Consider the following 26,645-nt stretch of genomic DNA (forward strand, 5'->3'; position numbering starts at 1 on the left):
TAACAAAACTAGAAAAATTAAGATGATGTGGCGTTGGAGCAGGAAGTAACAAATAAATCAGGCCAGGCGCGGTGGCTTATGCCTATAATCCCAGCACCTTGGGAGGCCGAGGCTGGCGAATCACCTGAGGTCAGGAGTTGAGACCAGCCTGGCCAACATGGTGAAAACCCATCTCTACTAAAACTACAAAACTTGGCCAGGCATGGTGGCTCACGCCTGTAATCCCAGCACTTTGAGAGGCCAAGGCAGGCAGATCACGAGGTCAGGAGTTCAAGACCAGCCTGGCCAACATGGTGAAACCCCGTCTCCACTAAAAATACAAAAATTACCCAAGCATGGTGGCGAGCGCCTGTAGTCCCAGCTACGCAGGAGGCTGAGGCAGGAGAATTGCTTGAACCCGGGAGGCAGAGGTTGCAGTGAGCCGAGATCTCGCCACTGCACTACAGCCTGGGTGATAGAGCAAGACTCTGTCTCAAAAAATAATAATAATAAATAACAAATAAATAAAATAAATATGAAACTTAGCCGGCCGTGTTGATGCATGCCTGTAATCCCAGCTACTCAGGAGGCTGAGGCAGGAATATCACTTGAACCCGGGAGGAGGAGGTTGCAGTGAGCAGAGATCATGCCACTGCCTTCCAGCCTGGGCAACAAGACGAGACTCTGTCTCAAAAACAAACAAACAAACAAACAAATAGATGAGAGTTATATCTAGGTTCTGGAAGGTGGACCATAAACATATGGGAATTCAGAATTCCATAAAAGTAGCACATCACATCAATGGAAAAAATGAATTATTTATAAGTAGGGAGGGACAGTTAGCCAACCATTCAGGGACAAGTGTCCTTAGACTCCTACCCTGCCACAGGCAAAAATAAATTCCAAATAGAATTTATCTAGCAAATGCAAAATCCAAAAGTATTAGAAAAATATGGCATATTTTTAGAATTCTGGACTGAAGAAGGCTTGCCTCATCAAAATATAAAAATCAATATCTTAGAAGAACGGACAGATTTTGCTTACATAAAAATTATACAGTAAAATGCATCATTTGTCTCTTCTTAGAGGCTTTTTACCCCTCAGAACTTTAAGCAAGGCATCAGCAATAGGAAATACAAAGGTTAGAAGAAAATAATACTTTGACAAATCTAGTCAGGAGAGCATTCATGAGGATACTTGCATGAAGCCTTCAAAAAATCAATGCCATGGAAGGGGAGGTAGGTGTTCTAGAATAAGAGCGACTCAAATTCGGCTGGGCGCTGTGGTTCATGCCTGGAATACCAGTGTTTTGGGAGGTTGGGGTGGGAAGATTGCTTGAAGCCAGGAGTCCAAGACCGCCTGGGCAACATAGTGAGATCCCATCTCTACAAACAAAAATTTAAAAATTAAAAAAAATTTTTTTTTTTTTGTTAAATGGAGTCTCGCTCTGTCGCTCAGGCTGGAGTGCAATGGAGCAATCTCGGCTCACTGCAACCTCCACCTCCTGGGTTCAAGTAATTCTCCTGCTTCAGCCTCCTGAGTAGCTGTAATTACAGGCACCTGCCACCATGCCCAGGTAATTTTTGTATTTTTAGTAGAGATGGGGTTTCACCATGTTGGTCAGGCTGGTCTTGAACCTCTGACCTCAAGTGATCTGCCTGCCTTGGCCTCCCAACGGGCTAGGATTACAGACGTTAGCCACGGCACCCAGCAAAAATTTTTCTTGGAAGACAGACTAAAAATCATAATAATCAAATGCAATTTATGAACCTTGATTGCTGTTTTTTTTTTTAAGCTATAACATATGAAGCACCTGAGGAAATCCAAATATGGACTGGGAATTGAAGGCTACTGTAAAATTACTGATAATATTTTTAGGTGGGTGATGATTTCAGAGTAAACTAGTCATATGTCTTTATTCTCAGAAGATGCATGAAGGGTTTAGAGTGATTCAACCACAAACAACAACAAAATATTAGCGACTATTGAATGTAGGTGATGTGTATACAGGAGTTCACATGCTATTCTTTTAATTTTCCTATATATTTAAATTTGAGAAATAGATTTCATTGGATAAGGTGTGATTCTAGAATGGGATTTATATAAGCTATGACAGTGAATAACAAAATAACCCACCATCCTACTGAAGTGCTGGAAAGTTACCAATGCCCCTGAGTATTTCTCCCGTAGAGGTAACCTCTATCTTCAATGCTGTGCTAATTGTTCCCTTCCTTTTTTTTTTTTTTTTTTTTTTTTTTGAGACAGTCTTGCTCTGCTGCCCAAGCTGGAGTGCAGGGCACAATCTCAGCTCACTGCAACCTCCACCTCCTGGGTTCAAGTGATTCTCCTACCTCAGCCTCCCACATAGCTGGGATTACAGGCGTACACCACCACGCCCAACTAGTTTTTGTATTTTTAGTAGAGACGAGGTTTCACCATGTTGGTCAGGCTGGTCTCGAACTCCTGACCTGAGGTGATCTGTTCCCCCTTGGCCTCCCAAAGTGCTAGGATTACAGGCATAAGCCACTGAGCCCAGGCTGTTCCCTTGCTTTTTAAAAGATAGTTCAGTTATTATACATAACAAGTACTTTTGCTTATTTCTGAGCTCTATAAAACTGGAAGCATTCTCTTTTTACATTCAACAGATTTTCCAAGATGTGTCCATGTTGTGTATTACTGAATGGAGTTCATTCATTTGTACCATTCCAGAATGCAGCACAATTCGAGTTTCCAGTTTTTACCATCACCAACCAGGCTGCCAGGAATGTTCTCACACACTTTTCTAGTGTGCAAGAGTTTCCCTAAGTCTATGGTCTTCCAACTCGCCCCTCATGGACTCCCTAAAAGAATTTGAAAAATGAGTATCTACTCTCATATTTTAAAGTTGAAATCTCAGTTTTTTAAATCATACCTGTAATCATTGAAAAATATATAATCTTGGCACATTGTAAATATTAACATTTAAAGATAATTACACAAACCTTTAATTTTTGAAATAAAATAATTTTATTTTATTATATTTCAAGTGTACTACACAAAAAATTAGGAATACCAAAGTATTAGGAATTTTGTCAAATATTTAAAGCAAGAAATGGCCTAATCAGGTTTTGTTTTGTTTTGTTTTTGGTTTTTGGTTTTTGAGACGGAGTCTCACTCACTCTATCGCCCAGGCTGGAGTGCTGTGGCGCGATCTCGGTTCACTGCAACCTCTGCCTCCTGGGTTCAAGCGATTCTTCTGCCTCAGCCTCTTGAGCAGCTGGGATTACAGGCGCATACCACCATGCCTGGCTGATTTTTTGTATTTTTATTAGAGACGGGGTTTCGCCATGTTGGCCAGGCTGGTCTCGAACTCCCGACCTCAGGTGATCCACCAGCCTCAGCCTCCCAAAGTTCTGGGATTACAGGTATGAGCCATCGCGCCCAGTCCTGATTGTTAATAAATACGATTTGCCTCTCTTAGTGGCTTTTTTATTTTTATCTTGAGACAGGATCTCCCTCTGTCACTCAGGTGGTGGCACAATCATAGCTCACTGCAGCCTTGATCTTCCAGGCTCAAGCGATCCTCTCACCTCAGCCTCCTGAGTAGCTGAGACTACAGGTGCATGCCACCACACCAGGCTATTTTTTTTATCTTTATTTTTAGTAGAGATAGGGTCTCATCTCACTATGTTGCACAGGCTGGTCTCAAACTGCTGAGCTCAAGAGATCCTCCAGCTTCAGCCTCCCAAAGGGCTGGGATTGCAGGTGTGAGCCACCACGCCCAGCCTCTTCACAGCAATACAGCTCTTCAAGCTACACTTTTTTTTTTTTTTTTTTTTTTTTTGAGACAGAGTCTCACTCTGTCACCCAGGCTGGAGTGCAGTGGCATGATCTTGGCTCACTGCAACCTCTGCCTCCGAGGCTCAAGGGATTCTCCTGCCTCAGCCTCCCAGGTAGCTGAGATTACGGGCAACTGCCAACATGCCCCACTAATTTTTTTTGTATTTTTAGTACAGATAGGGTTTCACCATGTGGCCAGGCTGGTCTCAAACTCCTGGCCTCAAGTGATCTGGCTGCCTTGGCCTCTCAAAGTTCTGGGATTACAGGTGTGAGCCACCGTGCCCAGCAAACTACACCGTTTTTTAAAGTGTGGACGCGGGAATACAAATGCCACCAATGCAGTGTCCCTGGTATCCAATTTGAAACTTCATGAGCAGCCTCTTCAACACTCAGAAATCTTACATTGCTCCATTTCTTTTTCTTGAAATTGTATATTCATTTTATTCTTCCCTCAATTTTTTTTTTTTTTTTTTGTTTTGTTTGGAGAGAGTCTCTTTTTGTATCTTTAGTAGAGACAGGGTTTCACCATGTTGGCCAGGCTGGTCTTGAACTCCTGACCTCAAGTGATCCGCCCACCTCGGCCTCCCAAAGTGCTGGGATTACAAGCATGAGCCACCACGCCGGGCCCAAATTTTTATTTTAATATTTGTTTCCTTAAAGTCCATTTATTGCTCATATTCTCTATGCTGGAAATATGCTATGAAAAAAATTCATAGCATTAATTTTTAATTTATTTTAACTTTCTCTGACCTAATTTCTCAAATTATTAAACAATATTTTTGGCCAAGCGTGGTGGCTCACACCTGTAATCCCAGCACTTTGGGAGGCCGAGGCAGGCAGATCACCTGAGGTCAGGAGTTAGAGACCAGCCTGGCCAACACGGTGAAACCCCGTCTCTACTAAAAGTACAAAAACTTAGCTGGCGTGGTGGTTTGTGCCTGTAGCCCCAGCTACTCGCGAGGCTGAGGCATGAGAATCACTTGAACCTGGGAGGCAGAGGTTGGAGTGAGCTGAGATCATGCCACTGCACTCCAGCCTGGGTGACAGAGTGAGATTCTACTTCAAAAAAAAAAAAAAAATTATACCAGCTGGTAACTTTCTTATTTCCTCTTCCATGTCATTGAGCACAATGCATTGAAAACCACCTGACTTGCAATAGGTTTATAAAGCAATCACTAGTCATTCACTTTTTCAATTCTGACATCAATATGTCTCAGTGCACCTAAATCTGACAATCTAGAACTTTCTGCAACCTGCGCTGACTCATCAAAGAAAAGATTTAGGCATGGGAAAGGGAAGGTAGGAAAATCATCACTTGTGAAAGGGGAAGCGGGAAAGGGGAAATGTAGAGAAGAGGACATTTGGAAGTTTGTCTGAATAGATTCCCTGAAGACTGTCAGTTTCTTGTAACTCCTTGGAAAATCATTGTGTGCATCCCTGTTTGAAACCATTGTTCTAGAATACATCCCTAAGAGTAGAGTTGCTGTGTGGTAGGATATGCATGTGTTTGACTTCACAGTACAAAAGCCAAACTGTTTTCTTACGTGGTTGTACAAATTGACATCCCCAAGTATGTATGAGAGTTCCAGGTACTCCATATCTTTGCCATCACTTGGTATTGTCAGGCTTTTTAATCTTTGCCAATCTGATGAATGTATAATGGTATATACCATGAATGAATGTATAAAGGTATCTCATTAAATGGCTTTAGTGTGAATTTCTCTGATTACAAATGAGATTGAGCATATACTCATAAATGTACTTGCCAAGCATGGTTTCTCGTTTGTGAAATCCCTATTTGTAGACTTTTTTTTTTTCCTATTTTATATGGACTAATTTGTTCCTTTGTCATGAGTAGCTGTTCTTTATCATTGTTTAGACCAACCCCTTGCAAATATTTTCTTCTAGTTTGTGGCTTTTTTTTTTTTTTACTGCCCTCATTTGATGAACAGTGCTTTTACATCCTGTTTAAGAAATCCTCTCCCAGTTAGGTGTGGTGGCTCATGCCTGTAATCCTAGCACTTTAGGAGGCTGAGGTAGGAGGATCCTTTGAGGCCAGGAGTTCAAGACCAGCCTAGACAACATAGTGAGACCTCATATTTACAAAAAATGAACAAAGTTAGCTGGATGTGGTGGTGCGCACCTGTAGTCCCAGCTACTCAGGAAGCTGAGGTGGGAGGATCACTTGATACTGCAAGATCGAGGCTGCAGAGAGCCAAGAGTGCTCTGCACTCCAGCCTGGGTGACAGAGCAAGGCTCTGTCTCTAAAAAGAAAGAAAAATCCTCTCCTCTAGAAAATATATTCTTCTAAAATTTTTAAAAATTTACCTTTTACATTGATGTCTTTAATCTACTTGTAATTAATTTGTGTGTGTGGTATGAGGGAAGCCTCCAGTTGAGTTTTTTTTTTCCTGGCAAGATAATCCAGTACGGCCAGACATGGTGGCTCATGCCTGTAATCCCAGCACTTTGGGAGGCCAAGGCAGGTGGATCACCTGAGGTCGGTAGTTTGAGACCAGCCTGGCCAACATGGTGAAACCCTGTCACTACTAAAAATACAAAAATTAGCCAGGCGTGGTGGTGCATGCCTGTAATCCCAGCAACTTGGAAGGCTGAGGCAGGAGAATTGCTTGAACCTGGGAGGCGGAGGTTGCAGTGAGCCGAGATCACACCACTGCACTTCAGCCTGGGCAAAAAAGTGAGACTCCATCTCAAAAAACAAACAAACAAAAAAGGTAATCCATTATCTCTGTCATAAATCAAGTTTCCAGAGATGCATGGGGTATATATATTGGCCCTTTCCTTCTGTTTCCTTACCTGGTTTCTTCATTCCCATGTCAATACTACACTTTCTTCCTTAAGAGAACTTTACAAGTCTTTTTTTTTTTTTTTTTGAGGTGGAGTCTCGCTCTGTCGCCCAGGCTGGACTGCAGTGGCGCGATCTCAGCTCACTGCAAGCTCCACCTCCTGGGTTCACACCATTCTCCTGCCTCAGCCTCCCGAGTAGCTGGGACTACAGGTGCCCACCACCAAGCCCAGCTAATTTTTTTGTATTTTTAGTAGAGACGGGGTTTCACCATGTTAGCCAGGATGGTCTCGATCTCCTGACCTCGTGATCCACCCGCCTTGGCCTCCCAAAGAGCTGGGATTACAGGCATGAGCCACCGCGCCCGGCCTACAAGTCTTGATATCTGGCAGGATATTTCATCCTTCATCATCTTATCTTCCTCTTCTCATGGGTCAAGGCTATTCGTTTTTTGGTTTTTTTTTTTTGAGACAGAGTTTTGCTCTTCTTGCCCAGGCTGGAGTGCAATGGCACAATCTTGGCTAACTGCAACCTCCACCTCCCGGGTTCAAGCAATTCTCCTGCCTCAGCTCCCAAGTAGCTGGGATTACAAGCATTTGCCACCATGCCCAGCTAATTTTTTGTACTCTTAGTAGAGACGGGGTTTCACCATGTTGGCCAGGCTGGTCTCAAACTCCTCATTCGCCTGCCTCAGCCTCCCAAAGTGCTGGGATTACAGGCCTGAGCCACAGCTCCCAGCCAGGTCAAGGTAATTCTTAATCCAAGCTCCTCGAATACCTTCAGGGGTTTTGATTGGTATCCCACTGAATGTTATAACCCAGTCTAGGAATAACTGACATGCTTATGACATTGCATCTTTCTGCCCAAAACTGTGGTGTCTCTCTCCATCTAGTCTGATGTTCTTTCATGTCACTGAAAAAAAGTTATAATTTTTCCTATGCGCTTTATATTTTTGTTGGTTTTAAATGTATCTTTCATTAATATGCTTTGACTTTCCCCTTCTTCATCCTATGCCTTTTATTTATTTTTCTTATCTTATTGCTTTGGTTATGATATATAGTAACAATGCTGAATAAAAGTAATAATAGTTTTCCTATTTTCTTTTTAGTAAGGCTAGTCAAGGGAAGCAGTCATAATGGAGAAGGAACAAAATAATCTGTAACTCATTGTGATCAATTAGTTGTAAACACCACTGCACTCAGACCACCCCATTACTGTTTTTGATAGTAAAGTATATTGCTTATTGTTTAACAAATATAAAATAGACTGAGAGAACATTTTTTGCTCTACCTTCTGAACACAGATCCCTTGTCTCTTTTGTCTGTTGCTGCCTCCCCAAACCCCCCAAAGATTATCTGGCTTGGAAGGGCATGGTGGTTTATGCCTGTAATTCCAGCACTTTGGGAGGTGAAGAGGTGGGGATTGCTTGAAGCCAGAAGTTTGACATATGGCTGCACTTCAGCCTGGGTGACAGAGTGAGACCCTGTCTCTAAAAAAAGAACAAAACAAAACATTATCTGGCTCATGGCTCATGATGGATGCTCAATGACTATTTATTGATTTAGTAAGCAGATGTATTTCCTCCAGACATGGACAAGTGTCCATCTAACTGCACCATTTCAGTGTCCAGTCTTAAAATTTTTTGATATTTCATTTTGGTTTTAATTTTTATCTGTCTGAGTTGGAACAATTTTATATGTTTATTAACAAATAAGGAAAAAAATGCACTCGTCTGCTCTAACTCCACTAATGTCTTCCTGTACCACTTGAAATAAAATTCAAACTTCTTTGCAGAGCCTCCAAACCTCCTCAGGATCAAACATGATGAAGTGTCTGGCTACCTCTGTGAACCCATCATTCATCACTCTCCTCCTTGCGCAGTTTACCCAGTCACATTAGTCTCATTGCCTGTCCCTCTGCCTGGAATGTTCTTCCCCCAGATCTGTGCATTTCCTGAGCCCTTGCTTCTTTCTTTCTTTTTTTCTTTTCTTTTCTTTTTTTTTTTTTTTTTTTGAGACAAAGTTTCACTCTGTTGCCCAGGCTGGGGGTGCAGTGGGGCAATCTTGGCTCATTGCAACCTCCATCTTCCAGGTTCAAGTTAGTCTCCTGCCTTAGCCTCCCGAGTAGCTGGGACTACAGGCATGTGACACCACAGACAGCTAATTTTTGTATTTTTAGTAAAAACGGAGTTTCACCGTGTTGGCCAGGCTGGTCTTGAACTCCTGACCTCAAGTGATCTGCCCGCCTCGGCCTCCCAAAGTGCTGAGATTACAGGCGTGAAACACCGTGCCCGGCCCCTTGCTTCTTTCAAAAAGTTACCCAACAGTCACCCTATCAGCAAGATGGTCCCTGATCTCTTCATCTAAAATAGCCCCTTCCACTCCCTACCCCCTTACTGTGCCTTATTCTCCTTCCTGTCACTTACATGTCTTCATAATACCTGACATTATATCACATATCACCTGTTGGTTTGTTTAGCATCAGCCTCACCCCATAGAATGCAAGCTCCATCCCCAAGACCAGAACGGTATCTGACAAGTCATGACCGCCCCACATATATTTGTGGAATCAATGCATTTGCTTTTCACCGTCCATGAACTGGCCATCCATGCCCTTTCCCAATTTTCTTTCTCTTTCATTCTAGCTCTTTATGTAGAAACATACTAATTCACCTTGTCATGTTTCTGACAAGCATTTTTCCCAATTGTTCCTTGTATTTTTCATTGTTTTTGATCTTTGGAATGCACAGAAACCTCTGTTTTTTATGTAGACAGCTTTGCTATTCTTCCCTTGTGTCATCCCCACACAGCAGATAATTATCCAGCTAATCCTCTTTCATAGTTTTAAAGGTTTCCTTTTATACACTGAATACTTTAATCCATCTGTAATTGATCTGCGGCAAAGTGGGAGGTGAAGATTGTTCCATCTTTCCCTCCAATTAGCCAGTTTTTCCAAATATCATATATGCAACAATTTTTCCTTTTCCACAAATTTGCAGAGGTTTCCTTATCATAGATTAATTTTTCATCTATTCTAGAGTCTATCTCTGAGTAACATAATCTGTTGATTATATAACGTAATCTTATGAGCACAAGCCGTGCAGCCAACCTATCTGGGTTTAAATTCCGGATCTACCAATGGCGCTGTGAGACCTTGGACCAGTTCTTATTTTCTCTGTGCCTTGGTTTTGCAAAACTTAGATGACAATAATAGAAAATTGCCATTTCATAGGCCTCAAAATCATCAAATACCAGCAATTTTGTATGGTTAAAGGTAATACCTACTTCCTAGGGTTGTTGTGAGCTTCAAGGTCAAGTGCTAGGAAGAGTGCCCATCACCCGTGCACACTGGGCAATCACCCCTATTGAAGCAAATGCCCCTCTTCATTATGTGTCTCTTTAAAAATTCTCCAGCTGGATTCATATGTTTATTCTTCCAGACGTGCTTTAGAACCATTTGGTCAAGCTTCCAAGATAACTCTACTGGGATCTGATTGGGATTGCATTGAACTAATAAATGAGTTTGGGGAGCGCTGACATCTTTGCGATCCTTGTCCTCCCACCCCGTGCCCACTGGTCTCCCTGCTGACTCCAGTCTCCTCTGAGGGCCCCAGCAGAGTTGGTTTCATCTGCTCTGGAAGGGAAAGGAAGGGAGAAGGTGGACAGGGCTGAACATCTGGAACCACTCCCTGCTTGCATCTGGAGGGTCTAACAGAGGGCTGGACAAGGAAGGGGGCTCATCTTACTAAATCAGGATTTTCAGACCAAGGCATCTCTGTCAAGTAGAAATCATGTCAATGAGAAACTTTCCAGAAAACCTCATCTAATTCCTCCAGCTGGAGCGCTGGAGTGCCAGGGTGCAGGCAGCCTGTGGGCTTAATGTGCTGAATTACTCAGAAATTGTAGACTTGCCCTCACCAAGGACTTCGCTAAATGACTCCAAATTAGACTGCTTCCTTAGCTGTCAGGTGGCTGAGGCTGGGTAATGTGGGGAGGAAGGGTTATTATTATTTTTTAAAATTTATTATCATCATCATCATCATCTACTATTCATTCATTCATCTTGAGAAAGCATTCCAAAGGCCTGTGGGGTCAGCACAGCCACCTCGAGAGCTCTGGGTGACCAGAGCAGACCCCCAGGAAGGCCCTCATGCCCCTGACACACCGGAGGGTCCTGAGCCCAAGGAAGTGGCCCTTGAACCAAGTAAGTGCTGTCCAACCTTGGCAGAGGAGAGGAGGAGCCTTGAGAAAAGAGGGAGGGCCTCGCTGCACAGAACTGGCCAGGCCCAGCCCTGAGGACTCGCCCTGCGTTCAGTGTCAGCTGTGAAACCCGGGTGCCCGCAGGGCCAGGATCCCTCAGCCACTGCCCCAGCTCTGGTTGGTTGCAATCACTGAGCTCAAATGGGCCAAATCACTCCCAGAGCTTCAGAGGCAGAGTGAAGATCCCCGGGAGAGCAGGACCGCCAGAGCCCAGAGGGCACCTGCGGGGAGGAACCGGTGAACTTGGAGGCCTCTGGGCACAGAGCTCCAGGTGGCCAGTCTGATTGAGGCCTGAACGCAAACCCCGTTATGTTGACTCCAGGCCATGGGGTCCCAAAGCATCTCCACTGCAAAGTCATTCCCTGGGGTGACATCTGCTCATCCCACAGCCTCCACCCAGGGCTCTCTGGCCCTGAGCACCTTTCTCATCCACGCTGGGGATGAGGCCCCTGTGTGAACTCAGGGCATACTGGTCTCCTCACACTGGGTTCTACCTGTCTTCCCCGTGGGTTCTGAACGCCTGAGGGCATGTGTTGCACACAGGCGCCTGTCAGCCCCTCATGCCTAGCACAGTGCCAGCAGAGGACACTTAACTGGGGACAGGTCTGCTTTCCTTTGGGGCACTTTTGGCTGTCACATGACAGGGTGCCCCTCTGGCAGTCATGGGCAGTCCCACACCACAAAGAATTGTCCTGTGCCAGTGCCCACAGTCCCGGTGGTAAAACCCTGCCTGTAGGTGGTGTGGGGGTAACCAGAGGACAGCCCCCGATCCTCTGTATGGCTGCCACCCACTCGGGACCAAGGGCACTGCCACAGTCCACCCAGTTCGCCCCCGGTGGCCTCTCCTTCGCTGCAGGCCTGCTGGAGGGAGAGAGTAATTAGAGGAAGAATGGAAATCTCCTGACTTCACAAATGTGACTTTGCAAAATGAGGCGGGAAGACAAATCTGTCTTCACTACTATTCATTAAAGAAAGTCCTTTATAAATCCCAAATTAACAATTTCTCATTTAAAGATGGGTGATTATCATTCTTTTCTGGCAATTTATAGCTTTCAAAATGCTGAAATGTGAAAATTATTGGGGGAAAAATTCCAGCTGTGGTCATAGAAAATGGAAATCCACTTCAAGACAATTGATAAACATATTCGAAATGATCAATAACCTCAGGTTCAAAAGTAATACTCACATACATATGTGTGAAGTGACTGCTTTGGTAATAGAAACGCTCTGAATGATCACATTAGGGTCGACATTCTGCATCCAGGCGGCTCGGAGCCCCAAGTTACCGGAAAATCAAATGATTCATCTGGAGGGATCTTACCCAGTTTGGAGATTCTTTGACTAAGGATGGTGACAACACAGGGTTGAAATTCTTATCTTAGCTTTTGCAATGCTTGGGCTCCTGCCATCTTTCTAACTAATCCACCAGGCACCTTTGAGGGAGGTGGGTGACCCTGTGCAAAGGAGGATTTGTGCAAATACTAGGAATGGAAAAGGCCTTTCTGAAATGACACTTCATTATTCATAATTGATACCTTCATTGAGACCTCCCCTGCCAGGACTAAGAATAAGACAGAGCCTGAATCCTGCCTCTACCCTGTGCCAACCCCAGGGACCCCTCTGCCTCTGAATCTAAGATATCAAAGTAGGTCCAATAAGATAGAACATGAAGATAATTGAGACCCTCTGGTTTTGTGGGGGAAACTGAGCTGAGATGGTATATAGGGGTTAAAGAGGTGCGTAGCCATCCTACGGAAACACCTCCGGGTCACCAGCCCACAGCGCCATCTCCTTCCACAGACCTCAGGCTCCTCAGGCGGAGGGCACCAGCAGAGGATCTGAAGCCTGTTTGCCAAGTGAGTAAAGATGCTACTATGAATTCCAAACCATCTCCACAAAGGATAGGATTGAATGACACGGCCTTAAAATGTGGCAAGACAGACCTGGGTTGAGCAGGTGGAGGGGCTGTCATGGGAGAACCTGAACCAGACACACAGCAAACCCTAACCAAGGTGGAGCCACACAGGAGGACTGCCCTGGAGCCTTGTTTCTGTTCATTCTTCAGCAGAAGAGCCAGCCTCTGTGTGGGTGGCGAGAGAAACAGTGGCTGATGGTGACCGGCACTCACTGTGTGCCCAGCTTGGCACGGCACCCTTTGCTTGCATTGGACCAGCTGGTGCTGAGGAGGAAACTGAGACTTGGAGAGTTAATCACCTGAGGATGGAAAGTCAGGTGGTCTGAGTTCAAAGCTGTGCACCTAGGCCTGAGTGGGCCGCTCGTGTGGTGTGATGTTATCATGCACTTCATCTCTACTACACCATTCCCCTCCCCAGAAACCAAGCTGTCTGGAAGGCTGTACACCTGTGCCCTAGAAGCAAAGGGGAAGAAGTGCAGGTTCCGCTGGGTGGAGTGTTTTGATCGGGTTAGCTAAGGGGAGCCTCTGCCAGGAGCAGACGCCTCTCTGGCCTCTGGACCCAGCTGTTGCACCTCTCCCACAATTTCTATCCAACTTCAGATAATGATGATGAACTCAGCTGAGAAGAGAAGGAAAAGGAAAACTTGAAACAAGAGCAAACATCTGCAGCTTCCCCCCAGCACTGTCCGGTATCCAACAGCAGGGGTGGTCAAAGCTCTGCCTCTCCCCTCTCCCAGGACAGGCGTCCACTGTCCCACCCTTCCCCCACAGGCCAGGGGCTCTGCCTTGGCCCCTGACCCTGGAAAGAAGTCAGTGCCAGTGGCCTTGGCTCAGAACCCAAGGCTTGTGGGAGGGGACGAGGTCAGGATTTGGAGGGATCCAGGCCGGTTCCCGCTGCAAGTGCGGCCCAGCCCGAGTCCCCTGCCCAGGTCTGGTTGCTCTGTCTGCAGAAAGGGACCCTCACTCTTGCCTCTGGGCGGCTGTGCCATACCGGAGGGCAGGTAAGGTGCTGGGTGCAGGGACACCTCTTTCTCATTTCTATCGCATCCCAGGCCCCAGCTGGCGCGGTGGGAGAGGTGCCTCGGAGGCTGCCACGCAGAGCCACCAAGCATGGCTTCTGGCAGTCTGGACTGCACACACCTCTGCACGCTCGGAGGCCCGGCCAGGCTGGGGTGGGGTCTGCTCCTCCTTTCTTTCCTTCCTCGGCCTGGTCAGGCTCGGCTTTTGTTATTCAGAGCCGGGGTGCCACTCTCTTCCTGGGGTCAGGCGGCCACTTCCAAACCCTCATGGCGCTCAGCTCTCTGCCGGGTCCCCGCCGAGCCAGGTGCATCGGGCAAGTCGGATGGGGGGCGGGGAGAAGGGGAACGCGAGAAGGTGGGGGTGGGAGATCCGTGTTCTCCCGGGCCCTGGCTGGGGGCCCGGCCGCTAGCGGTCAGGCTTAATAGGATCATGTCGGTGTAATCCCATTTCAGCCATTGTCATTCAGGAGGCCGCGGGGCAGAAGCTGGGGGGCCGGGCCCTTTAGGACGAAGGCGGCCACACCAGAGACGCACCGGCATGACAAAGGCCGCCAGGGACCCAGTGGCTGTGAAATAAAGAGATGAAGGCTTTGGGGGTGGGTGCCCGGAGTGACGTCCGCCCCCCCACCCCGGGCCCGGCCCTGCCTCAGGCTTTTGCCTCGGGCCCAGGCCGCTCTCGAGCCGTGGGCGCGCCCTCGGGGCTCGGCCCCCGGTTTCGGTCTCAGGCCCCCGGGAGTATCAGGAGAACAAGGTCGCCCGAGATGGGCCGCCGCGCCCCCCGACGGCCTCCCTGCCTCCCTGAGTGTCCGAGCCGCCAGGCTGGTAGCGCAGCCGGGCCTCCTGCCTCTCTCCCTCGAGGCCCACGGGGTGCACGGCTTCCTGCAGGACCAGGCCTGGAGGCCTACCCCTGGGCTACCCTGGCCTCGGTTTCCCTCGCCCTAGCCTAGCACGTGCAGCTCTGGGCCGCACACTGGCGTCCTTCGGTGCCTGTTCCAGAGAGGGGATGAGGGTGTACCCGACCGCGGCACGAAGCGGGTGGGCTGGGGAGGGGGGTGCTGGGAGTCAGTTTAGGAGCCCTAAGAGTGTGTGTGTGTGTGTGTGTGTGTGTGTGTGTAGGGGGGCCTCGCGGTGGAGGCTAGGGTGTTGATGGTGGGCTGCCGAGGTGGGGAGCCGGAACAGCCCATAGGCCAGACCCGGGAAGAGCTCTGAGGTCCAGGTGGGGGTGGGGGCAGTGTGAACTGCGGAGGGGGTCAACCCAGGGACAGAAAGCGGGGGGTGCTCCATGCGTTGGAGGTTTGGGGTATGTGGAGAAAGCTCAGAGGCCAAACCCTGGCGGTGGGGGGAAAGTGGACTGCAGGATGCCGGGTGGGAGTCACAGACAAGAGTGGTGGGGGGTGCGAGAGTCCTCTAGGCAGAGGAGAAGGAATGGGGGGAGGGGCTTCCCGCCGCTGCATGGATACACTGAGAGGGAGCAGTCCACAGGGACGGGCTCAGGGGCACAGGGGGCGTTCAGCTTTGCTGGGTGCCTGGGGGCAGCATTTTTGGCTCCCCCAGTGGGGTCGGACCCTTGGCTATTGGGAATGTGGAGAAACCCGGCAAAGCGAGGGTTGGACGTGAAAGGGAATGGCACATGCACACACACACTCCCACTGTCACCTGCTCACACCCACACAGACTCAAGCAGTTGCGCACCCGCCCACACACGCACACTCACACCGCTGCTCATCACAGAGCCACTCCGTGGGGACCAAAGGAGGCGCTCACAGGGACCTTTGAGTTCAAGCTGGAAAATCTGAGCGGGTTCCAGGGCAGCAGCACCAGGCATGGGCCGCAAGGGCCTGGGTCAAGGGGCAGCCTCTCTGGGGGTGGGACCCCCACCAAGCCATGATCTGCCATTGGCCCCCCAGTCCAAGAAGCCTGGGTCCTCCCGCAGCTCCCAAATGCATGGGCCTGTCCCCCCACCCTCCCTCTGCCCCAGCGGAGCAGAGCCTGCCGCCTGCAGTGACAAAGTGTGCTGCCTGTCTCCCAGGCCCCTGTGCCAGCCAGGCCTCAGCGCAGCGCAGCGCTGCCGGGAGTCCCGCCTGTCCAGGGGAACTGCGGCTTGACCTTTCCCCAAAGCCACGGAGGGCAGGGCGGAAGTCGGCTTAGGCCCCCACTTCTGAACTGTTCAAATAGACAATCGGTTTTGATGATGTAATTTATAATTTATGCAGGTTGTCTACATACATATGGTGTTGCTTATGTGCGTTGGGGTTTCAGGTGCTTTATTACTCTGCCGGTGTGATTTGCATTCATGTTTGGTTACCAAGATCATATTTCTCCTGTTTACACCCTAAGGGCCTAAAATGAAGATGAATGCCACCTCCCTTCGTCTGGGCTGTCCCTGTAGAACCCCGGCCTTAGCTTCCCCCAAGACCCCAGAGCCCTGCTACCCTGGAACTGGGCCCTGAGCACTGCGCTGAAGCTGCCTGGGAGGACCCAGCGGCCAGAAGGTCGGAGCAGGCCACCTGCTCTGGCTGTGCATGCCTGGGCAGATGCCTGGGGTCTCTGGGGACAGAAATAGGTGTGTGCACTGGAGCCTCCTTCCCTGGGAAGCCACGGCTGGGCATAAGCGAGCCACTCTGCCACACCGCCACTGAAGTCCAGCAGGGGAAAGAAGAGGGCCCCGAGAGGGTCTCTGCTGCCCGCGCTGCTGAATGCGTGGGCTCCAGCCACTTGGGACTAGGAAGGCCCCGAGGTGAGAACCAGAGTGTGATCCAAAGGCTCCTGAGGCCGGAAAGCTAGAAGGTCACTCCCGGCTTTCAGTGCACCTAGAACCACCCGCCATGGGGCATAACATGGGACTCTGTTCCAGACAGGTCTGGGGCTGGAGGGAGCAGCCTTGGAAGCCCTGTGCGAGCTTCACCAGATGCAGCTGAAATAATTAAGCCCATTAAGCTCAAACAAACAGAAACAAGAGGGAGAGGGTGCTGACCCTGAGAGAAAGGGTGTCTTGGAATGCAGGTACCAGCGATGTGCCCAGGCTTGTACAAGCACCTAGGCTGAAGGCCAGACGCACAGACAGCCATAGAGTCAGGATGTCCTCCGAGGCAAACCCGGGCTCAAAAAAGCCTGGGGGGGCCACTCCCTGCTCTCCATTTAGCTGACAAGGCATCTGTGAAAGAACCACCCAGGGGGCTGAAGACAGGAAGCAAAGGCTGGATGCACAAGCATGCACTAAGTCTCGAAAATTCCAGCGCAGGTTGGGATTTGAGCAGCTTCCAGTGCAGGTGGGTCCCGGCTGCTGGGAAGGTAGTCCTGGGCTCCTTCTGGAAGGGGAAGTTGCTTGAGGCCCAGGACCAAACTAAAGAGGGTCCTGCCCCAAGAACAGGGAGATGGCTGCGGATTTTCAGCATACCTTGGGTTCTCCAATGGGGCAGGGGTGCCTGGCTTGCCAGGGAGCAAAGGCAGTCACTGGGTGGAGTGACTGTTCTTGTGGCCCCCCTCCGACCTCTGCCTGGGTCGGTGGCTGCGGGGTGCAGGCAGCCCTGAGGCGTCCCAGTGCACGGCTGGGGGGCGCAGGTCCAAGGAGCTCCCAAGTGTAATTATTTGATCTGCAGATGTAAGTGGAATTTATTGTAACAACAAATATAGTGATGTCAAAACCCAACCTTGGATTAAAGCCGGCAGCCAAAGGGGAAGTGTATTAATTTCCAACAGCATCTCAGGCCAGAGCCTATTAGAACAAGCTATTCTTCAGGCCCCCCCATCAGAATTAATCATTGGGAGTTAATTTGAAGCTCAGACAAGTTGCTGTTAATTTAGTGCAGGGAGGACGGGATGGAATAAAAAGCTGAGGTGCTGGCCGAGCCTCGTGGGTCTCATTAATCAGCCAGCTGAGACGGCCTGGCTTGATTACAATTTGCAAAAAAATTCATTAGGGCCCGGGCGATTGACAATTTTTCTCTCTGCCTGTGATGTGACTCATTAGGCAGCCAAATGAAAGCCATGATGACGGCCATGATGACAGCGGCCATCAAGCGCTGCTTGTTTATCTTCCTCCCCTCGGCCTGTCTCCCGGGCCTTGGCCTCCCTGCCGGGCTCTCGGGGGCGCCCCGGGGCTCAGGGGTTAGGGAGGGAGGGGGTCAGCGCCCCGAGGAGCAGGAGGGAGGGCGGCATCGGCCAGCTTGGGGAGCTCGGGCCCTCTCCTCCTCGTGCCTCCATAGGGCGAGGACCTCGAGGCTGGGAGGGCCCGGAGCTCGGTCCCAGGAGCGGGGCTTCCTGACGGCGGCCTCCGGTTCCTAGTGGGCTTCGCTTTCCCGCCGGGTTTGTGCGGTCAAAGCTTCGGGTCCCTCTGCCCCTCATCCCTGCCATGGGCTTTTGGAGAAGGCGGGTGGGGTTACACCTGTTATGGTGGAAGGGGATATGGGGGGCACTCCAGGATCTGCGGGGAGTGCCAGGGTCTCTTCCCCCGACCCGCAGGGCCGGCGGGGCAGAGGCCGCAGCTCCCCAACCTTCCCGGGTAAACTCTTCGCCCCCAGCCACGCGCAGACTGGCTCAGGTGTGTGGGTCGGGGGACGGCGTCCCTGCGGGCCTCGAATGCTGCAGCAGCGTCGTGTGGCCAGTGGGTACCTGCCCCGAGCAGCAGGCGCTCACCGGCAACCTGCACTCAGCGCTTCCTGGCGGGCGGGATCCCGGCCTTGCGGCCCCCGCGCCAGGCCAGGGCGCGACCCGGGCGCCATCCCCTCCCTGCCAGGCTTCATGGCGCTGGGCGGGGCGCGGCCAGGAGCCTCTGCGGCTCTCGGCGCCCCGCAGAGCCGGCCGACGCCCTCGGAGGACTGGCCCTTCTATTTTATTGGGCTCGAAAACCAAGTCTGGGCCATTTTCCGCCACCGGAACTGTTGGGAACGCGGCGGGAAAGGGTGACTCGGTCGCTCCCAGCCTTCACCCTGCGCCTGAAGTTTGGGTGGAGGTCTTGGTCCCCAGGCCCCTCCGCCGTGGGGAGGTGACGGCCTGTAAGTAGTAAAAATTAAGTCAATATTAGTACTAACCCATGGCGGGCCGCGCTTCCCCTTCTTCGGCTGAGAACCTCGCCGAGGGCCGAGCGCCGCTGCATCGCAGCGGCTCACCGGCCTCCCCTCCTTCCCCCACTCGAAAGGCTGAGGCTGGCGAAGCCCCGGCTTCTCTCGCGCTTCGGGCTGCTGGCTTGGTGGCACCACGCTCACACTCGCTGGCCCGCTGAACGCCCCTGGGCCTGTCCGCCGCAGTATCTGGCGGCGCGCTTCGGGGTCCGGCAGCGAGCGGACAGGGCTCTGAGCGCAGGGCCGGGGTTGGGACAGGAGTGGGCTTGGGGACCAGGCACGCCCCACCGAGATGGGGAGGCGCGCAGCTCCCCGTCCCTTGCAGACCGACTCCCAGCTCCCCTGCGTAGCCTCTCCCGTTTTCCCCCTTTGTGGTGCGGACTACCGGGGCGTCCTTGGGGTGGGGCGGTGCCCGGGTCCCGCCCCCTCGACCCCGCCCGGAGGGGGAGGTGCCGGGGCCGGGGGCGCTCCAGCCAGCCTCCGCCTCCGACTGAGGGCTGCCGGGAAGCCGGCTGGGCTCGCTGGGTTTTTGCTCCTGTCGCCAGATAACGCCCGGAGCCTGATTTATGGACCCTCCACTCTGCCGGCAGGCGAGCACCGCTTCTTTTCGGGCCGGAGATATTTGTAAAGGAAAGACGTTTCCTCCCTGGCTGTAGTCGATTTGGAGCATCAGGAGTTTGTGCAAAGCCACCAATACCCGCACTCGCTTGCCTCCTCCGGGCACCCACCTCCTCCTCTGGCCGAAGTTTGCCGGCCTACTAGGTATCGATTAGGCTGTGCAAAAGGGGGAGATAGATTTCTAAGGTGAGAATTAGGTTTTCTTAAATTCGTAATCCTATCGGCCCTCTTGCCCTCCTATTTTAAACCTGGCAAAGTGCTGGGTGGCTCAAGTCCAGGATGCCTAAGGAGACCTGTTTCAGGGGACGTTTCTCCAGTACTGGTCCCAGACCAGTTGCCCGGCCACACCCTGGCAGTGCCCGGGACGGTCAAATTCTGGACACACTTATGAGGCCCAGGGATTGGTCTTTTTCCCCCCCTCTCTCCTTTTTATTATTCACAAGACTGAAATTGTTTAAATGTCATAACTTATAAGAAAATAAGCTACATTGAAATAAATTAACACAACGGAGACGTGCTTCACATGGCTCAGATAGGATAGGCAACCCCAGGGGAAACCAAAGCCAGGCAAAAGCAAAGCAAAGCAAAGCGAATTTCCAGGCTGCCTAACAATGTCTGCTTTTCAGTCAACTCAAAAAGCCAGAACGCAAACCAAAATCAGTTTAAACCCCAGTGCTTGTTCTTGGGTTTCACGTTTACCTTTGGAAAAGTATGGAAAGGTGGCTGCTAACCGCGCAGATTACAGCAGAGGTTTTGTTTTCTTCTGGAATGAGTGGAGAAATTACTGGGTAATTAAGTCCTATAACTTTCAAAATACTGCAGCTGAGATCCAGTCTATAGAGATATTTATGTACAAAGTAGGATAGTATAATAAATATTTAGCGTGTCTTCTGGTGTGGCTGTAAGCCCCTTCAAAAGCAGTCTTTTAAGCCCATTTAGTGAATATATTCTCAATTTGCTTGGGATGGCCACAGCTGGGCTGTGACTTTGTTGCTTCAAACACAGTGGAGTCCACCATGGGTTCCCTCGGGTGCGGGGGCTTCTCCAGGTGGGTGCCAGGCCCTGGCCCTTCTGGACCCTCAGGGCCGGGCCTGTTCTAGCTGCTGATGCTGACTTCTGATAGCGAACCTGCTGACGTGGACAGGGATGGGGACGACGATCTTAGGGTTCCGGGAGGGCTCCCCTGTCTTGGAATTGGCATTGCCTGCCTTCACCCGTTTCCACTTGGCCCGTCGGTTCTGGAACCAGATTTTCACCTGCACCTCGCTGAGTTTGAGGGCGTGGGCGATCTGCGAGCGCTCGGTCAAGGAGAGGTACTTTTTGCAGTGGAACTCCTTCTCTAGCTCCAGCAGCTGCTCGCTGGTGAAGGCAGTCCGCCGCCGCCGGTTCTTGCCCGTAGACGTGGTGCTGCCCGCGGCGCCGCTGCTCGGCGGGGTCTCCTCCAGCGCGTGGCCCGGGTCTTCCTCCTTGTGAGCTGCCTGGCCAGTCAGATTGTCATCCGAGCTGTAGTCCACATCGCTCTCCAGCGAGAAGCTCTCCTCCTTGCCCTTCGGGTCGTCTTCCACCTTTGACTCGTCTTTCCCTTGCCCTCGGACAGCCCCGACTGAAAGCAAAACCAAACGGCATTTTATTACATTTCGCACACTGGCCTTCCTTTCTCCTTCCCACCGTCATTTGGACATTCCGCGCCCCCCGCCCCCCACCCTTTAGCGGATTGTCTTTCTATGACATTAACACATTGTGATTTCCTGGCCTTTGAGGGGTAGAGGAGGGGTGGGGGGAGCGTGAGAAAGCTCAAAGGAGAGGAGGCAGTACAGGCGACGGCCCTTTGCCCAGAACCATCACTCAAAGGGCCGCCATGCCTCCCCCGCACCCTCCCAGCCTCGGCAGCGTCAGGAGAAGTAGCAGGAGGCGCGAGGCCCAAGAGATTGCCCGCTTTGTCCCTGGGGTGGGGACTGGTTGAGGACTGATGGGGGGATTCACGATTCATCCTCCCCCCACCGCCACCATGAAAATGTAGTGAACCTCAATTGCTTCCTAACCGGAGTGGAGGCGTAGGGACGTGCAGATCCCAGACCATCTTTTTTGAGACAGACAACGTTGGTCAAAGGGATGTTTTGTGGCCTTATAAGTTCCCACCAGACACCCCCAACACAAACACACAGGCACAGCCTCCCAGCAGTCCGTTTCTCCCAGACAAGTAGCAAGACCAGCGAAGGGGTTTAAAAAGTCTGGGCGCCCCTGGGCACACGCACGGCTGAGACGCGCAGCCCAACCCGTCTCCCCTAGAGGCTGCAACCTACCCGGAACCCCAGGTCACCGCGGAGCGGCAGAGGCGGCCTCGGCCAAACGCATCGTCAGATAGATATGTGGCCCAGGGCAGCAGCTGGTCGCCGGGCGCTAAACGCCCCCCCTCCCGAGACCCCGCTTGTTGGGTGGCTCTGAATGTCCCCCGGAGGCCCAGCGGCACAGCCGGGCCTCATCCTCCAGCTCCTCCCGCGGGGGTCGAGCGGGGGCGCGGCCTCGCCCCCTTGGTCTCCCGCGGGAACCCGGCGCTGGCCCGCCCCCGCCTCCTCCCGCCCCCTCGTCCCGGCTGCGCGCGCCGCCGACTCACCGAGCGAAGCCTGCACCGTCTCGGCCGCGGAGAAGGCGAGCAGCGAGCCCTCTTTGGCCAGGAAGCCTTTGCCGTCCTCCGCGTCAGCCTGCAGCGCCTCCGCCTTGTCGAAGTTACCGCCGCCGGGCAGCGGCTGCGGCGCGAACTTGCGGGCCGCTGCCGCCTCCTGGTGCTGGGGCGACGCGGAGAAGCCGCCGGGGAGCGTGGCCATGAGCGTAGAGGTGAGCGCCATGCCCTGCGCCAGGCTGGAGCAGAAGCCTGTGGGCAGGCTGGGGATCTGGTGGTGAGGGTGTGCGGGCGGCAGCGCTGGCTGCAGCGCGGCCTGGGGCAGCGCGGGCGGCGGCGGCGGCGGCGGCGGCAGCACTACCGGCCGGTAGGGCATGAACATGGGGTAGCCGGTGTAGACGAAATGGCCGGGGCTGGGCTGCGGCGGGCTGCCGATCAGCGAGTCTATGCTGAAGGCGGTGCTACTCCCCAGCGGGCGCTGCATCATCATCAGCGACGGCGGGAACGCTGCGCTCATAGACGCGCTCGGTAGAGGCCAGCGAGAGGCGAAAAGTCCCCGCGCCGCGCCGCCGCCGGGAAGCCCGCCGGACGCCGGGAGCACCGCCGGGAGCGCCGGGCAGGGGCCGAGCGGGACCCGGAGAGCAGACGCCTCCGCCCCTCAGTCCTGGGCCCGCTGCATGCCGGGCGGGTGCAGGGGGTGTGCGGGGTGAGGCCGTGCGCCCCGGAGTGGAGAGGGCGCCCGGGCCCCGAGGGCTCGCCGGAGCCCCCGTCCGCCGCTTGCCCGTCGGAGCCCGCGCGCTTCGCGGGTTTGGCCCTCGGCCCCGGTAAGCTGCCGTCCGTCCGTCCGTCCCGCCGTCCGTCGCCTCCCGCGGGCCGCTGGGGAGCGCGCGAAGCCGGCGTACTTATCTCCGGCGGGCGCAGCCAGCACCTTTAAATCGCGCTCCTCTTTCTCATTCACATTTTGCCTGCCGCCTGGCCCGGCTCGCCTCACGTGGGGCTGGGCGCCTCTGGCCATTGGCTGAGCGGGGCGGGGGTGGGGCGAAAGCGGGGCCCCGCCCTTTCCACCCAAGCTGGCCTCGAGCGGGCTGCGGGCGCCACCGTCGGAGCGCGCGGGCCGGGGAGCCGGAGCCTGCATGCCTAGCCCGTGCCGCGCAAACTTGAGACGGGCGGATGGCACCTCCAAGGCTCGGACCTTGGGGCCCTGCAGCCTTGTCGAGGCCACCTCGAAGGGTAGCCTCCGGGGCCCGCACCCCCACGGCTGGGCCGGGGGCGCTTTATTTCTTTTACTGTATTTGCCATGGAACCAACCTGCCTGCGGCTCACTCCAGCGCTGGGTGCTCCGGCTGCGCCTGGGGTCCGGGCGAGGGTCCTGGAGTTGGGGGCAGGGTCCTGCCCCTCCGGAGCCACCCCCGGGGCGAAGGCTGGGAGCTGGCAGCGCCTGCCCGCCGCCAGAAACCCGCCGGGTTGCTCGCTGTAGGTCCGCGCACCGGGTGGGGCGGGGAGGCTGCTGCTTCCCCCATCCCGGGCTGGGCCCTCCCGTGAGCGATCCCGTCTCTCATTTTTCATGACATTCTTAATCATCGCACCTATTTACACACTTTGCCAGCGCGCACCAAAATAACAACCACGATAATTATGATAATAAAGAGAGTCCTTTATCTGCTCCATCCTCGGGGAGGAAGGGGGGAGTTGCTGTGCCTCCAGATTGTATAACGTGAGATTATCCTGATGAAAGCTTTATGATGTTTGCTCAAATAAAAGCTGCGTTTTGTAAATAGGCGCTAATTAAGCACGTTGCGAACGCAAGGAGTGCTCACCCTGGCGCCGCCGCCCGGTTTCCAGCGCGAGGACTCGAGGGCGCGCGGTTCCTCTTTGCTAACTGCAGGATGGAGCCGATCCCCTCAGGATGTTTCCCCTGTTCTCGACAACGGTAAAGACCCCCAAATTTGAAAGTAAGGGAATTTTGGGGTGGAGGGAAACTAGGGACGTACTTATCCCCTCTTCCATTTTCAAACAAAAAACTTTCAGCTCTTGTCTTCCCTTTAAAAATGGAATCACTTCTTGACAACGGCAGACCGTGCAGAGCGCACCAGCGCGAGCGGGGCTTCCTCGAGTCTCCAAGGCCCGGGCTTCAACTTCCCGGGTCTAGACGTCAGCCCTGAACCGCCAACAGCACCGGGTTGGGGAGAAGGAAAGAAGGGCATTGTTAGTTCGGTCATTAAAAATCAGCTCACGCCGAGGAGCTAGTGGTTGGGGAGTTGGCCCGTGTTGGACGTGTGTTATGTATCACTTACAAGCACATTTAATTGGGAGATAAAGATAAATCGATCTTTATGAATTTATCGACCCGATTCTTTGAAGCTCTTTTTTCGCGTTCTTCCTCTTTCTCTCGCTCTAGCCCCAAGGCCCCCCGGGGGACGTCTTAATCCCAGATCAGCTCCTCTGCCAGGAGTCCCGCCGGAGACCCACTGCCCACCCAGCAGACCTGGAGGAAAGAGGGGAGGGTGTGTCCTTGGCGCCCCGGGACGCTGGGAAAACTCGCTGGTCCGCCGCCAGCCCTCTCCTCCTCCTCGCCTCCTCCCTCCCTACCACCACCCGGACAAAGACGTCTCGATCGCGTTTCCCCACTCCAGGCCGCAGTAATAGATCGCTCCGGCAGCAGGCGGTTTGAAAGGAATTCATTAGGACGCTGCCTGGATTGCCTCCCCTGACTTCACGCCCAGACCCCGAGGTGGCTTAGGCAGTGTGAGGGGAAATGAATTCCCTTTGGGATCCATGGAGAAGGAGGTGTCTGTGGGATCTCCAGGCTCTATCCCTCCTTCTTCACTCCCAGAAAAGAAGAAAAAGAAAAAAAAAATCGAAGCCCAGGGCAAAAGGCTGATATCTTTATGAGCATAATAAATACTCCCCCTCATTATGAGATAGTTACAGTGACACAGCCTTGGGTGCCATTACCCTGTTTTTTGAATACTAAGAAACGCTCCATTCCTTCCTTGATTTACGTGGCTACAGCCGGGGCCCTTCCGGCTTGCCACTGACATGCCGGGGGAAGCTGTTATTCATTTTACCTAGGCAGGTTTGCCATGCACTTTGCTATTTCGCCGCAAAAATATTGTTCTAGGGACTTTTGTCGCCTGATTACCCTCTGAGAGGCAGGGATTCCTTTGATTATTTTGGTGATTATTCTACATTTAAAGTTCAGCAAGAAGATTTAGGTCCGTCGAATTATAGCTGCACTTGAAATAATTTGATGGCATGTTATTTGCATCCATAAATTGCCATAGCAAGTATTGACTGCAGGGGTTATAATACTAATCTTTTATTAGTGAGTTCAGATAATTCCCATCAATATGAATTTTATTTACTAGTGCCTTTTTCGCAAATGCAATGCAGTAATACTTTCTCATCTAATGCTTAGCTGCTTAGAAAACGACTGTTCGTGTCATAAAAGGATCCTTGTGTTTCGGCGTGATTAACAAGATGCATTCGGGGCACCTCAGCTACCTGCAAAGCGTTCAGAGCGTGGGGACTGCGGATAATAAAAGCCTTTAGAGTTTTTCCTCGGCTCCTCGGATAGATTTATGGACAGGAGCGATAGATGCATGGCTTATCCATCCTCCGGATTCCTACCTGCTTAGCTCGTAACAGCCTCAAACTGCAGAGTCCTCCGTGACTCAGCTCGGCCCAGTCTACGCGGGAAAATCACCGGGCACAGATGTTTGCAACTTGGTCCCCTCCCCCCTCCAATTAGGAAAAATGAAGGGCGCACCCGAAGGGAGAGCTGGGTCCTCCAACTCCAGTTAACTTCGTGAACTTCCCTCCCCTCTTCCCCCCTAGATGAAGATAGCTCAGCCCCTGGGCACTTCACTCGACAGGTGCTAGGCTAGTGTCAGGTTCAGATGATGCCACTTAAAACCTCAGACATTCCGAAAAAGTGATGGTAATTAAGTTGGCCCCTCGCTTCGGGGTTGTCCCAGGCTGCGCTTGCATGCAGATGTATGAAGGTTGAGGGTGAAATAGAAAACGCACAAGTAAATGAATATTCATGCAGCAAACTTGTGCTGGCCTGCCCAGCCCAGCCCAGCCCAATCCGGAGGAGGAAGCACCGCGAATGGCGCGCTTCGCTGCCGCCGCCAGAGTCGAGGTAACGGGTGGTCGTGGAGAGGGTACGGTGTGGCCACCCGTGGTCTCGGAGGACGCGGGGAATCCTGCGGGCCTCGAGGGTCTGGCGCTCCCGCCAGTCGCCCAGTCCTAGGCGACAGGCTGGTTTCTCGGGCAACCGAGTTGTTTTTATTTACAGGGATTTTGAGAAGCCCGATCGTTTGGTCATTGCCGCAGCTCTTGCTCCTGGCAATAGTTGGGAAATAACTTGGGATGGGTTTTATTTATGGAAGGGCAATTGGGATTCACACCCAGCTAACCCTGAACAGTCCCTCCCGAGCCCAGGACGCACTTACAAAGGGGCGCTTGTGTAAAATTCCCCATCAGACACACTAATTTGCAAGTAGCAGAAAGCATTGAAGCCTCATCTTTTTAAACATTTTATTCAG

At 52.3% G+C, this 26,645-nt stretch overlaps 1 protein-coding gene and 2 long non-coding RNA genes across 6 annotated transcripts in view, besides 9 other annotated features; 2 read left to right on the forward strand and 1 right to left on the reverse strand.

Moving 5' to 3' along the window:
- Positions 10,497 to 11,285: an enhancer, noted in NCBI's record as "H3K4me1 hESC enhancer chr2:237064500-237065288 (GRCh37/hg19 assembly coordinates)". NCBI's record gives its function as "activates a minimal SCP1, AML or CMV promoter by ChIP-STARR-seq in naive H9 embryonic stem cells {active_cell/tissue: H9 hESC(naive)}" and the evidence as "EXISTENCE:reporter gene assay evidence [ECO:0000049][PMID:30033119]".
- Positions 13,300 to 14,120: an enhancer, noted in NCBI's record as "OCT4-NANOG-H3K27ac-H3K4me1 hESC enhancer chr2:237067303-237068123 (GRCh37/hg19 assembly coordinates)". NCBI's record gives its function as "activates a minimal SCP1, AML or CMV promoter by ChIP-STARR-seq in naive H9 embryonic stem cells {active_cell/tissue: H9 hESC(naive)}" and the evidence as "EXISTENCE:reporter gene assay evidence [ECO:0000049][PMID:30033119]".
- Positions 14,121 to 14,941: an enhancer, noted in NCBI's record as "OCT4-NANOG-H3K27ac-H3K4me1 hESC enhancer chr2:237068124-237068944 (GRCh37/hg19 assembly coordinates)". NCBI's record gives its function as "activates a minimal SCP1, AML or CMV promoter by ChIP-STARR-seq in naive H9 embryonic stem cells {active_cell/tissue: H9 hESC(naive)}" and the evidence as "EXISTENCE:reporter gene assay evidence [ECO:0000049][PMID:30033119]".
- Positions 14,942 to 15,761: an enhancer, noted in NCBI's record as "H3K27ac-H3K4me1 hESC enhancer chr2:237068945-237069764 (GRCh37/hg19 assembly coordinates)". NCBI's record gives its function as "activates a minimal SCP1, AML or CMV promoter by ChIP-STARR-seq in naive H9 embryonic stem cells {active_cell/tissue: H9 hESC(naive)}" and the evidence as "EXISTENCE:reporter gene assay evidence [ECO:0000049][PMID:30033119]".
- Positions 15,762 to 16,583: an enhancer, noted in NCBI's record as "H3K4me1 hESC enhancer chr2:237069765-237070586 (GRCh37/hg19 assembly coordinates)". NCBI's record gives its function as "activates a minimal SCP1, AML or CMV promoter by ChIP-STARR-seq in naive H9 embryonic stem cells {active_cell/tissue: H9 hESC(naive)}" and the evidence as "EXISTENCE:reporter gene assay evidence [ECO:0000049][PMID:30033119]".
- On the reverse strand, positions 15,981 to 23,027 carry GBX2 (gastrulation brain homeobox 2). Of its 3 annotated transcripts, XM_047443907.1 has the most exons (4): positions 22,090 to 23,027; positions 20,175 to 21,078; positions 17,195 to 19,631; positions 15,981 to 17,105 (listed from the first exon to the last, which is right to left on the reverse strand). In XM_047443907.1, exons 1-2 carry the CDS (start codon positions 22,610 to 22,612, stop codon positions 20,555 to 20,557), a joined length of 1,047 nt encoding a protein of 348 aa, XP_047299863.1. In that variant the 5' UTR covers positions 22,613 to 23,027; the 3' UTR covers positions 15,981 to 17,105; positions 17,195 to 19,631; positions 20,175 to 20,554. The 3 variants fall into 3 exon arrangements, with proteins under 3 accessions (XP_047299863.1, NP_001288616.1, NP_001476.2); NM_001301687.2 differs by lacking the exons at positions 15,981 to 17,105; positions 17,195 to 19,631 and adding an exon at positions 21,779 to 21,815 and having other exon boundaries at positions 19,877 to 21,078; NM_001485.4 differs by lacking the exons at positions 15,981 to 17,105; positions 17,195 to 19,631 and having other exon boundaries at positions 19,877 to 21,078.
- Positions 16,584 to 17,403: an enhancer, noted in NCBI's record as "H3K4me1 hESC enhancer chr2:237070587-237071406 (GRCh37/hg19 assembly coordinates)". NCBI's record gives its function as "activates a minimal SCP1, AML or CMV promoter by ChIP-STARR-seq in naive H9 embryonic stem cells {active_cell/tissue: H9 hESC(naive)}" and the evidence as "EXISTENCE:reporter gene assay evidence [ECO:0000049][PMID:30033119]".
- Positions 17,361 to 17,845: an enhancer, noted in NCBI's record as "VISTA enhancer hs249". NCBI's record gives its function as "enhancer in: neural tube[7/8]" and the evidence as "EXISTENCE:transgenic organism evidence [ECO:0001131][PMID:17130149]".
- Positions 18,224 to 19,043: an enhancer, noted in NCBI's record as "H3K27ac-H3K4me1 hESC enhancer chr2:237072227-237073046 (GRCh37/hg19 assembly coordinates)". NCBI's record gives its function as "activates a minimal SCP1, AML or CMV promoter by ChIP-STARR-seq in primed H9 embryonic stem cells {active_cell/tissue: H9 hESC(primed)}" and the evidence as "EXISTENCE:reporter gene assay evidence [ECO:0000049][PMID:30033119]".
- Positions 21,206 to 22,158: an enhancer, noted in NCBI's record as "H3K27ac-H3K4me1 hESC enhancer chr2:237075208-237076160 (GRCh37/hg19 assembly coordinates)". NCBI's record gives its function as "activates a minimal SCP1, AML or CMV promoter by ChIP-STARR-seq in naive H9 embryonic stem cells {active_cell/tissue: H9 hESC(naive)}" and the evidence as "EXISTENCE:reporter gene assay evidence [ECO:0000049][PMID:30033119]".
- GBX2-AS1 (GBX2 and ASB18 antisense RNA 1) overlaps positions 22,083 to 26,645 on the forward strand; it is a 46,784-nt gene continuing 42,221 nt past the window's right edge. Inside the window, exon 1 of the long non-coding RNA NR_186035.1 lies at positions 22,083 to 22,310. This is a non-coding gene — a long non-coding RNA (GBX2 and ASB18 antisense RNA 1). The remainder of the gene's footprint in view (positions 22,311 to 26,645) is intronic.
- On the forward strand, positions 23,667 to 24,437 carry LOC124906126 (uncharacterized). Of its 2 annotated transcripts, none has more exons than XR_007088135.1 (2): positions 23,667 to 24,025; positions 24,124 to 24,437. It is a non-coding gene; the product is annotated as an uncharacterized LOC124906126 (long non-coding RNA). The 2 variants fall into 2 exon arrangements; XR_007088136.1 differs by having other exon boundaries at positions 24,170 to 24,437.

This window comes from Homo sapiens, chromosome 2 (assembly GCF_000001405.40).
Source record: "Homo sapiens chromosome 2, GRCh38.p14 Primary Assembly".
In the NCBI taxonomy this organism is placed as follows: domain Eukaryota; kingdom Metazoa; phylum Chordata; class Mammalia; order Primates; family Hominidae; genus Homo; species Homo sapiens.